This window comes from Homo sapiens, chromosome 2 (assembly GCF_000001405.40).
Source record: "Homo sapiens chromosome 2, GRCh38.p14 Primary Assembly".
Lineage (NCBI taxonomy): Eukaryota > Metazoa > Chordata > Mammalia > Primates > Hominidae > Homo > Homo sapiens.
Genome location: NC_000002.12, coordinates 143200036 through 143213091, shown reverse-complemented (window position 1 = coordinate 143213091; position 13056 = coordinate 143200036). Strand labels below are relative to the sequence as shown.

At 36.8% G+C, this 13056-nt stretch overlaps 1 protein-coding gene across 9 annotated transcripts in view; it reads right to left on the bottom strand.

The window, feature by feature from the left end:
* Positions 1 to 13056, bottom strand: part of ARHGAP15 (Rho GTPase activating protein 15) — a 638934-nt gene that overhangs the window by 555261 nt on the left and 70617 nt on the right. For all 9 annotated transcript variants that reach the window (XR_007078554.1, NM_018460.4, XM_017004500.3 and 6 more), the window contains one exon: positions 10890 to 10958. Coding sequence is in view for 8 of the 9 variants with exons in the window: in NM_018460.4 (NP_060930.3) it covers positions 10890 to 10958 (69 nt within the window). In the remaining variant the exon portion in view is untranslated. The remainder of the gene's footprint in view (positions 1 to 10889; positions 10959 to 13056) is intronic.

Below are 13056 nucleotides of genomic sequence, written 5' to 3'. Positions count from 1 at the left end.
TCTTGAGGCTTAAACTCCTGGGAGTTCATATTCAAGATATTCCTGCTCCTTTTCTGGGGGGACGGGATACCATGCCCTGCTTAAGTCATCTCACAGACTCAGGCCATCTTTTAGCCTGGGTAGAAAATTCCAATTATGCTTTCTGCACTGAAAGCACTGCATTGTAAAGGGTCTCATGCTGGCAAGTGAAGTTTCCACGAGGTAGGATTAATTACTTTACTATTCTTTGTCATGATAGTTTGAAATACGTCACCATGTTTCAGACACCAGGAATCAGTTATTCTGGGAGCCTCATAGTGTGCCGAAAGAAGTATTAGGGCAAGCAAAAGATTGCTATGCATTTTGCATGTGGGTTTATATATGGTACCTTATTAGTTTCTCTAATAATTATTCCTACTCAATGTTAATCCCATGGTTTGAAGGGACAATGATCTATAAATTCCAGTTGAGCGTGCTAGTCATCTAGAGCTCAGATGGTCTTGTCTCCAGTAATTTACAAAATTACTTACAGCTCTAGGTCTAAGTTTAGGATACTACTTGCCAAATTCTAGGCCAAATTGAAGTTCTTTAAAGAAGTAGCAGTCCCTGAACTAAGTATACTTAAGAAATGTCAACCAATCTTTAGATGCTAAATCTGGCTTCTTGAGCTATTTGTCCAATGTTCCTTAGAAGCCCTATTTAACATTAAATGGCTGGAAAGATCAGCAATTTGTTCATACTGGATGCCAGCCAGTCTGCAAGCACTGAGGAAGTGCTCGGCAGACACAGCCATGCTGAGATACAGATGAGAAGAATGAATGGCAGTGGGATACCCAGATAGCACCTGTTTATCAACCTACGTTGGAGGCGACAGACAAGACAGGGGAGCAGAAGACAACCTTTGATTAATGGTAACAATCATGGCAGAAAGACTAGTGTGTTAACTGTACATACACACACTGCATTTTTTTTTATGAGAAGGCTTCATGTTGTTCTCAGATACAATTGCAAATAATAGATTTTCATCTACACCATTCCACCAAAGGGTTCTGTTAAAATAACCCTTTCTGTTTATAAATGGAAATAAACTTAATCTGCAACTTTTACCAGATTTTGATGAGAAGGGTTTGGCTTTTAACACCAGAACCACATGGTCCTTATGCCTCATAACGTTTTCTCTGCTGATGTATTTAAGTTATTGTTCTCTTCCCCTTTGTTCTGATAATGTGCTCATTGGCAGCCATCTGAATCCTAGTTCAGCTTCCTAGGTTCTTTGATGTAGAAAGCGGGTGACTTAAATAGTATCAGAATATTCCCTATTATGTACTGTGAGATAGACTCAAGGGATCTTCATCTCAGTAAACACTAATAATGATGATAAATATGAGTTTTCTGGATCCACAATGCTGAGACAGGCCCCAGCTCTAAACTGAGATGATCCCTTTAAAGTAGCATCACCCTATGAAACCTTCTGTGTGACTGACTGACCTCTCTCTAAAAGAACTCTGCATCATCTCTCTATAACTACAACCCTGGGCCACTATAATTATCAAGCAGATTTAGCATTTAATTATTTTCCTATTTAATAACGAGGCAGCTGCTATACTTTCTCTGAACTTTTAATAGATCATAGTACTTTGCTGTTAATCTTGTCTGTTTCAATGATTTCTATTAAAGAGCACAGAATGAGGACACATTTGGTTACATTATTTTACCCCCAAATGATGCTTCACTTTCCTTCTTAAATTCCCGCCCCCCACCCACGCCCGCCATTTTTTACTTCTCCACTATTCATAGAAATATCTACCTTATCTGTCTTTCTTTTTTCTATTGCTTTTATTTATTTATTTATTTTGCCTTTGTTTTTAGGTTGCACTCTTTCTCTTTGGAACTCATTGCTTACATTTTCTTCTCAATATTCACTTATTCCCATACTGTCTCTGCTATTCATGCTATATTTGATTTGCTCATTACCGGCGAACTCACTGTGGACATAATCCATTAAGAACAGAATCAAAAACAGAAAAAATACCTTAAAACTCCAGCTTATCTGTACATCATATAAAGTACTAATAGTTTTTAAACATTTTTAAAAGTCTTAATTTTAGAACTGCCTTAAATATAGCTCAAGAATGAAATATTATGCCTTTAGACATAGATTCAGTATGATGTTTTTGTCTGATGTAAATACATCATTTACTGTGTGTGCACATTTTTAAGAAGTGGTAAACCAAATATCTAAAGTTGGATGCAATGATTGCATGTGAAGAAGAGTAGAAGAAAAGCAAAGAATGGTTCTGGGTCATACATAAGTGGTGATAGAAAGAGGTCACCAAGAATTCTCAAAGAGGTCCTTGATAAGCGTGTTTGATTTCAGCATGAAATTTGATTTCAGATTTAGGCATGGTTTACTCATTTCAACTTATTTATATTCTTTAATAAGTTTGTTGAGCAATGTTTTCATGGGTAGCCTCCCTCCCTTACTTTCTCTCACTTAGGATAAGACAACATGTCCAGCTTTGGGGTTATGCTGAATGTCTTAAACCATTTTTCAAATATTAGGTTTGGCAAAGCACATATTATGTTTTGCCAAGTGCTTTTCCCCATCATGTTAAACCTCTGTGTATTTCAAGGGAAATTTTATCTGTATGTCTCTGATTTATTCACCCCTAACTCATCAAAATGTCATTTTGAAAATGTTATTATTTGATGTTTAAGAACCCCCATACGACTTTTTTTCTGAACCTTTCATCTGGCAACCGGTGTGTTCATTTGGTCACCACCAAGGAATCCAGGTTCTGTTTGGGAAACAGGCTGAGGAAGGCACCCTTTTTGTATCTCAAGAAATTTCTTCAGTCTTCTGGAGGCTTTTACTATAGCTCACCTCTCCCTCCCTCATGCACCACCCAACTTCCACCCACCATTGCTTTCTCTTCTTCCCTGAATTCTATTTATTTGTGTCTTTGATGTAAATATGTTCCTCGTTCTTTGCCTGTCACTGGACTTCAATGAGAATGGCCTTCCTGGTTACTGTCTGGGCAACTTATTAGTGTAATTCAATTTCTGCGTTATAACTTAATTTCAGTCTAGGCAGTGGGGAAGAAAGGATTGCTCAATATTAATAGCCTTTATTGTTGCTGTTCTGTGTGTTCTTTTTCTCTACTCTAGAGTTAAATGGATTTCAAATGTGGAGCTGGATGGGAGAGGTATTGTCATTTGTTTCTGTGTTTCAATGGCTTCTGAACTTCTTACCATCACTTCAAGGCCCTTTGCAATCTGGGCACTGCCTCTCTCTCCTCAAAACCCGTGACTCTTTTCCCTTGTTCATAATATTCTGGCTGCTGTGGAATTTTTGCAGTTTTTCAGATGTAACAACTTTGTTCTGACCTGGCGACCCTTGCACTTGTTTCTTTCTGCTTCAACATTCTTCTTCCAGTTCTTTGCTTGGCAAACTCCATCAATCTTGCAAAATCTCAAGTTAACTGGCCATTTCAAAGAATCCATGTGTGACTACTTAATCCAGTGTAGGTTCTCACAGAAACTTGTTTTTTTTTTATCATAGCACATTTTGTAATTTGGACTTATAGAATTATGCCTTCCTTTATTTAACACTTCTGTTCATCCCTAGACTGAACGCTTCTCTAGAAAGGGACATGGCCAGTTAGCATATTATCACATATTCCAAGCCTAGCACAGTGATGGCCTCAACAAATACTTGAATTAATATACATGCTCTTACTTGAGAAAAGGAAGGGCACATGAAATAATGAAAACTTAGAGATGGTTTCTATTAGCATTATTAAATTATATAACTTATTATTGTTACATAACTTATTATTAACAGCCTGAAGATCTGGAAGGATATTTCAGAAAACCTAATTTTGTCTTACCCAGGTAGAATTTTGAAAGACTAAAGAGCTTTTAGAGTTTTTCAGCAGTTTAAGGAAAGCCCAGCTTGATCAATAGAACTATTCCCCCAAAGTCTATGTCCTTCGTTTTAAAACAAGAAAACACTGTATTCTCACAATGTCTTTCATGCTCAAAGCCCTCACTACTATTAATTAATCCACAAAATGATATCTGGCTCTAAAAGGTAGAATCTGTGACTTAAGGTTTATCTGCAAAAGCCTGCTTTGCCCCCAAGCCATAGCAACTTCCTGAGCTCTGTCCTCAAAATCCTCCTAGCTCAGGAGGTAGCAGATGATTCTGTAAAAACCTGCCACAGGCTTTTGACTCCTGCAGGGTTTTCCATAGACATGTCTTACACTCTGTTGATAAAAATAAACAAGATAAAGATTTAACATGTTATAAACAGGGTTCTTTTTCTTGAATGTTTCTTTAAGGGGAAAAGAAAAAGTACCCTGAAAATAATTAGGTCTCATGAACAGTTATAATATAGAATATACAAGATCAGGAAACAAATGCATATTGATATATTTGATGATTCATGTACAAAACTGTTGTGATATTATAGCACTTTCTAAGCAACCACACCGATTCTCAGGAAATGATTTCCGTCTCTTCTACCGAAACCCTATGGATTTACATACATGTGGCATAAATAACATCATCTGTCAGTGAACTGGGTAGTTTCCACTCTGAAATTTTAGATTCAGATTAGGAATGTATTTTGGCCAATATTCAAAAGAAATAAATGCTTTGTTCTGTTTAACCATGCTGTTTACAATCTATTTTCTTAAAAGGAACATTAAGAGAGGGAGCATGATTCCCAAAGGGTGTTAGCCTCTATGAGAGCATCCAAAATGGCAGATTTCATTTTATAAAGTGAATAATTGTCCTACAACATGGTGGACCTAATAGGACACTTTGATAAATTTGGCCAAAAGCCAATGTCTCTCGTGTTTCCTGGAGAATGTTCAGTAGAGTTATCTCAATATGAGATATAAAGGAATTGAGATTTATATATCCCAACATTTTAGAAATAAATAAGCCTGAAGATCCATACAGTAGAGATGATGGATAATAACTCCAAAGGAAAGAATGTCATTAATTCTCAGAAGTATTTTCCTGTATATTATTTCATATATGATAGCTCATCCTGGTAGGTACAGCCAAGGAAACTACTGCCAGGACTCCTGGATGACTCTGGAAGCCACCCTAAGGCATGGTGGAGGTGAGGAGAGTTGGAGAGATGAAAGTAGGGAACATACCAGAGTGCAGAAAGAGTATGTGAGTCCTGGTAAAAAGAACACAGCATTAGATTAATCAGATGTAAAGAAAACTTCATAGGTTCTGAAAAATAATTCAAGTGTCAATGTGAACGATAATGAATGGTCTATAATCAATCAGATTTTCTGTCTGGGGGAATGGGTGATTATTGGGGCATTGTTCATCAATATAGATAATTCATAAATAAGAATTTGGGATGAAGATAATGTTTCTGCCTTTAAAATAACAGTAAGTAAGAAATTCAATTCAAGTAGAGATTGATGGATAAAAGTTGAATGTTATCCATGTTCACAAGACACAGCAAGATAAGCGTTCAGAGAGATGATCCAGGAAAACCCAAGTCAAGACTAGGAAGTAAGCTGATTGGTAGTTCCAAAAGTTTTTAGAACTCATGGCACTGTGTGTGTGTGTGTGTGTGTGTGTGTGTTTATGTGTGTGTGTGTGTCAATGGGAGAGGGAGAGAAGGAAGGAAAAAGAGAAAACAGAAAAATATTCGGGTATGCAGCAAAAAAGAGATAAATTGCAAGGTAAAAAACTTAAAAATTATTGTTTTTGCTTCTGTTTAGCAGGACTTCTCGATGTTACTTTTCCAAGGTCATTGGGGCTAAAATAGAGTATTGGGCAAATAGATCTATTATCTATTACTATATTATCTATAATTAGTGATATTCAAAGTGAGTTTCATTTATTTAGAACTGAGGCTGCAGAGAAACCCTACTATATGCAAGTAAATCAACAAATAGCCTTAAGAGTAGGCAGGTAAATTTTGAAAACTATTTCTGAATATTCTAATGGTTCTTCTGATATTAGCTTATGCTTGATATAGTGGCATAGAAAATACACAATTAAAAATTATATAAAAATTAATTTTTTAAATAACTATAATTTGGATTTTATATATATTATAATTTTTTATGTAAAAAACTTTGGGGCACCTTTAGGCACTGTTAAAATATATGTGCATATATATTTTATGTATAAACATACAGACACACACACAAACACAGACATTTACTGAGCTCCATTTTCAGCCTAACTTTTGCCATGTTTCATCGACTACTTCAGAGCAAACTTTTTATGTGTTATTTTTACAAAATAATCCAGCTCTTCATAATTATTTTTGTACTTTATTTTCTGTGTAATCCAAATTTATTTAAAATAAAACCAAACAAATAAAGCATTTATTTTCCTATTTATTGGAGAACTACAGTGTGCCAGCCTTTATACGAAGTTTTAATAGTAAAACAATAAATAAGACATAGTCCTCCCTTCAAATAGCTTATAGCTCAGTAAGAGCAATAAAGGAAATAGGCAATTTTAGTGTGATGGGGCTGGAATAGAGTCAAGACCCAGCTGCTATTGAGAGACAGATCAAAGAAGGGCTATCTAATTCAAATTTAAGGAATTAGAGAAATCCTTCCTAGAGAAAATGCTAAGTTGAGATCCACGTAATTAATTTTGAAAACAATATATTAGTATATCTAATTATATTGAAAAATTGGCTTTCACTACAAATGTTAGGCATATATTTATTAATGTCTGCAACTAGCAACATTGTTTTAATAAACTTTTAATTTCTTATTACATCAATTCACAAGCATGTCTTTCCTGAACAAGTACTAGTGCCAAAAGCAATCTAAGTAGAAGTACGATATAATAAAGAAAATACAAGTCATGGCCTCTAACTTCAAGACATTTACAATCCAGCCATGGAACAAGTCTATTACCTATGAAATAAGAGTGAGCAACACAAAACAACACATGAACATGTGCTGGGATGAAAGGACTGTAATTGCTACAGGAAATCCAAGCTCCTTCAGGGTAAGAGCCATGTCTTAATCATGTTACTACTCCTGGCTTGAGGGTATGTGTTTGAGAGAGGATAATAAATAACGTAAATTGGGGACCATGATGCTGTAGAAAATTTGAAAATGAAATAATGAAAGTACTATTGAAAGAAGGCTGTTCTGGAATTGCTGCCTAGGATCAGTGGGGGGGATGATAGGGTATGATAAGGTCAGAAGCATTTCAAGGCTTGGGTGAGGGTTTGGGGGTGCACAAGGAGAAGCATATGGGCACCACAACCATTGAGACGTTTCATCAGAAAATGATGACTTATCCAAAGGGCCAGGGAGAAAATAAAGAATATAAAGAAAATGTGTTCTCATCCTAGATATATGTTTGCTACTAATAGAGATGGGCTCAATGGAAAGAGGGAATCAGTTTGAGAAGGCACTGATGAAGGGTTCAACTTGAGGGATTTCATTTCTGTGATGATAGAGATGACATCCTAGAACAAATGACTAATTCACAGGAGAGAAAGGTTACAAGCATAGACCTGTGTATCACAAGCTTGGAAGTGAAAACAAAAGCCATTAAATTTTCATTATGCCTTCATTCAACAAATATTTACTGAGTCCCTAACATGTTCCAGCAATTATTGTAGTCATGGGAATGAAGTAATGAACACAGGAGACAGTGTCCTTGCCCTCATAGAACTAAAATTCTAATGGAGTGACAAACTTAACAAAAATAAATGCTGTAGTATGCCATCTGGTGGTAAGGTCTATAGAGTAAATTAAGGTAACAGAAGTGTACATGGAAATGGTGTGGTTTCTTGTTTGTTCATTTGTAGGTTCCTTTCTGTTTCTTTTTTTTTTTTTTTTTATCTCTCTCTGCACAATCTTGGCTCACTGCAACCTCCACCCCAAATGTTCAAGTGATTCTCCTGCCTCAGCCTAACAAGTAGCTGGGACTACAGATGAGTGCCACCACACGTGGCTAATTTTGTAATTTTAAAATTTTAAAAATTTACTAATTTTTAGTAAAGATGGGGTTTTACCATGTTGGCCAGGCTGGTCTTGAACTCCCAACCTAAAGTGAGCCCCCTCCTCAGCCTCCCAAAGTGCTGAGATTACAGGCATGAGCCACCACACCTGGCCACTATGGGTTTTGTTTGTTTGTTTTTGTTTCATTTTTTTTTTAAGAGAGATTAGGGAAGACCTATTTAAAAAGGTGATATTAGAGCAGAGATGTAAAGCAGAGGAACATATGAGATATCCAAATTTCTGGGCACCAAATATATTATTTTGTAAGAGATAGAGGCAAAAGCAGGTGGGATGGCCGGGCAGAGGAAGAGGTATCAGCTTCATTGGAGCAGAAGGAGACAGGAGAAGAAAGGGAGAGGTGAGACTGGGGAAGTCGATGAGTCTTCTAGGGCCTAGTGAACCATTGGATGTTTCTTAGCATTTACCTGGGGTAGACTAAAAGCCAGGGAGGATTTTGAGTCAAGGAGTGATGTGAGATGGACCGAATGTTTGTTTCCCCTTAAAACTCATATGTTGAAATCCTAAACTCCAATGTAATGTTACTAGGAGGTAATTAGGTCATAAAGGTGGAGCTCTCATGAATAGGATTAATGCCTTTTTAAAAGGGACCCCAGTTCTCTTGCCCTCTTTTTGCCGTGTGAGGATACAAGGAGAAGTCAGCTGTTTGCAACCCAGAAGAGGGCCCTCACCAGATCCTGACCAGAATGGAATGCTGATCTTGGACTTCCAGCCTCTAGACCTATGAGAAATAAATTTCTGTTGTTTAAAAGCCGCCTTGTTTGTGGTATCTGTTGTAGTAACAGACTGACTAAGATAAGAAACAAAATCTAATTTACATTTTAACAGGATCACTCCCACTGTTGTGTTGAAAATAAACAGTAGAAAGCGAAAGTGGGTAAACAGGGAGACTATTTCAATAAACTGGGTGACAGATGATAGTAATGGTGGTGAGAAATGAACTGATTCTGGGTATATTTTGAAGACAGAGCAAACTGGGTTCTTTGGTGTTCATTTATGTTACGACTGAAACAAGGGAAGATGACTTTTAGTGTTTTGACTGAAGCACCTGGAGGTGCTTCTCCATCTTGTGAAATGGAGAAGACTTGTGAAATGGAGAACGGGTTTGGGCAAAAATCGGGATCAGTTTCAGATATGCTAAGTTTAGGATGTATATTAGAACTGTGTGTAAAAATGCCAGAATTTATAGTACTGAAGTTCAAAGCTGTGGTCCATGCTGGAAATAGAAATTTAGAACTGGCTAGTGTTACATGGTCTAAAGCTACAACACTGAATGAGATGCCCTAGGAAATTCCTACAGACAGAAAAAATAAAAAATAAAAACTGAGCTCCAAAATGAAGAGGGACCAGTAAAGGGGGTTGAAAAGAGGTGGCTCTCCAGCTAATTGGAGAGCCATGAGAAAGTGGTTACTGGTAGTCATGTGAGGAAAATGTTTCTTTTTAATAAAAAATTTAGATTCAGGGGATATATGTGCTTATTTGTTACATGGATATACTGCATACTGGTGGTTGTTGGGCTTCTAGTGTACCCACTACCCAAACAGTGAGCATTGTACCCACTAGGCAATTGATTCAAGAAGAGAGCTATCAATTGGGTTAAATGCTCAGATAGACCTACTGAAGAGACAACTGAGAAGTTACTGATGGATTTAACAACATGGAGGCAATCAGTGACCTGGATAAGAGGTGAATGATTGAGATAAAAGCCTAAACAGAGTTAGTTCAAGAGACAAAGGGAGGGCAGAAATTGGAAACAGCAAAGGTAGACAATTATTTGGAGAAATTCTTATCCTAAAGTAAAGCAGAGTAAGGAGAAATAGCTGGAGTGGGGATGTGGGATCTGGAACATGAAAAGCAATAGAAAACAGGAACACTGAAGCAAAAAAAGAAATTATTGTTGGTGCTAAGGATGGGACATCCCAAAGATAACAGGGATGAAATAGCTAGAGATAGACAGGAATGCAGTAATCATAGTGCAATATCCTGTAAGCCAATAAGACTGGAAGCATATTGACCAATATGAAATATAGCAGGAAAGACAAGTTGAATGAGCATAGAGGAAAAGCACATTGTATTTATCAAAAAAGAGGTCATTAAAAGAAAGAAGTATCAGAACATATCAGAAAGGTTGGTCTTACGTGTTTTTAAGATATATATAATACTTTATTCATTCATGTTATTTACAATATTTCAGGTACTCTTTTTGTCACTAGGATATAACAATACACAAAAACATGGAAAAAAGTGCCATTCTTACGGATGTTGAGTCGATTAATTTTTTTTTGAAGACAACAACAACAATAACAAAAAAAACTATCAACATTTACAATAAGCCCTCTGTAGTCTCTGGTTCCTATTATTCACATCCTTATGTAATCCTCTCCCCTTGTGTGAACTAGACTTAATGACTTAATTTTAACCAAAAGAATGTGGCAAAGCTGATGGCGTATTGCTTTTACAATTAGGTTACAAGAGATTTTTGACTTCCATCTTGCTAGCAAACTCTCCCTCTTGCCTTCTCATCTTGGATGCTTTGAAAAAGCAAGCTGTTATTTTGGAGAAATCTTTGTGGCAAGGAAATAAGGGCAGCCTTTGGCCAACATTCCTGGAAGAACTGAACCCAGCCAACAACCACATAAGTGAGCTTGAAAGCAGACCTTCCCCAGTCAAGCCTTCAAATGAGATCCCAATTCTGGCTGATGCTTTTGTTGCAACGTTTTGAGAGACTCCAAGCTAGATCCCTCTACTAAGTGGTGCCCTGATTCCTGACCCACAGAAAAATGAGATAATAACTTAAGCTGTTCTAAGTTGCTGAGTTTTGTGGCAATTTATTTTGTATCAGTAGATGAAGAATATAATGACTTAAACACTCACCAGTTGTTCCAATGGAGGAATGACATCTTTCAAGATATGCTGTGAATGATTCCTTCTGTGTCTGGATATCTGCAAATATATTGACATTGGATATTATTACATAATTTTTCTTGATAGAGTTTAGTAAGAATACACATAAAATAACCAATTCAGTGTTATTCAAGCATGTGAATTAAGTAGATATAAAATGAGAAGTAAATGTTTTGGACATTGACTAATTTAAATAAAATACGTACTCAAAGATGGCTGGCTGCAAGCATATCTCAAACCCAATTCTCTTCTTACCATGTAACCTTGACACCCCTTTCTTCAAATGTTGAAGTCTGTGTTCTCTCATGTGAACCTGGGCAGACCTTATGCCTGCTTCAATAAAAAAGTACAGCAGAAGTTCCACTCTATGACTTCAAAGATTGGAACACAAAAATGTCATACATTCTCCTGTGTCCTCTGAGAACCTTCACTCTTGGAAAATATGTTGGAGGAAACCCAAATCACACCCACAGAGTAAGCACAAGGAAAGCCTTATAGGTTTCCGATTGATAGAAAGGCTGAGGTTCCAGCAGACAGCCAGCATCAACCACCAAGCTTGTGAGTATAAAGAAGTCCTCTATCCTTCCCAGGCTCTGGTAATCATCATTCTATTCCCTATCTCTATGAGATCAATTGTTTTACAGCGCCCCCAAATGAGTGAGAACACGTGAAATAAGAAATGATAAATGCTCGGGTTAGTGAATACCCCAATTACCCTGATTTGATTATTATACATTGTAGACGTGTGTTAAAACATCACACTACCCCGTACATATATATGCCCATTATGTACCCCTAATAATTAAAAATGGAACATTAAATTTAAAAAGAGCCCTAGCCTGGGCAACATAGTGAGACTCCAACTCTACAAAAAAAATTTTTTTTTAATTAGCTAGGCATGGTGGCACACACCTATAGTCAGTCAGTCCCCAGCTACCCCAGAGGCTCAAGTGGGAGAATCACTTGAGCCAGGATTTTGAGGCTGCAGTAAGCTATGATCACACAACTGCACTCCAGCCTGGGCAACAGAGTGAGACCCCACTCTAAAAAAAAATAAAAATTAAAAAAAAAGAACTCCCGATGATTGCCTTTTGGCCATTGAGTTTCCCCTAAACTTCAAACGTCCCAGAAGAGAACTCAAATATATCGTGGGGTAGAAACAAGCTATTCCTGTTGTGCTTCATCTAAATTTTTGGACATACTCTAAGCATGACAAAAACATTGTTTCACACCTCTATGTTTCAAGGTGATTTGTTACTAGGACAAAATATTTCATATTGAAATTTTTTTTTGTTGATGATGTGAGCTCAGCTTTTACAGGATCAACATTCTATTAAGTCTCTTGTCTTCTATTAGTAACCAGATGTGCTTAAATACTCAAAAATCACACTTTCTTATGTACTTTTAGAACAAATTAAAATAAATCTTAATGTTCTTTTTCCTGAAGAAGCATAATAGACAGATTCTACAATAAAACATAAAGAGAAAGAGAATTTATAATAAAATCTTACACTGTTTTGTAATTTAAACAGAAACTCCCATTAATATTGTTTCATATTTACTTGGAGAGAAAGAAGGAGGGAAGAAGGGGCATGAGGAGGATGAGAGAGAGAGAGAAAGAGAGAGAAAGAGAGATAAGTGTAAGAAATTAAAGAAATAAAGCAGACCTGAGTACTATGTCTAGGAAAGGACTTTATTGTTTTTGGTTCTGGTTACTGGCACATACAACTGACTGAAGGAATTAGATCAATGTCTGTGAAGATTTTGAGAGAATTGTTCTACCAAAAAAAAAAAAAATCAGAATCCTGGCCTAAAAAATTCCACGACTCTATACAACCTGGAACCCCACATTTGCTCTAGGAAAACTGGGTTATGAAGAAAGTAAAAATCCAAGGAGATAATTTTCCCCAATGTTCGCTTCACAGGTGTCCTATGGAAGATAATTGAGAAGGAACAGACTCCAGAAAGCAGGGCCAGAAACCCTGGAGAACAGTGGCCATGGGGAATTTCAGAAAGGAGAGCCGGGGACTGTCTTGACTTTGAGGGAAGTTGTCTCACAGAGACTGGCCAGCAGGATTCAATTATTGTTTTGGTCCAGTGACTGTTGGCTGTTTACCTATTTTTCCTTTGACAAATG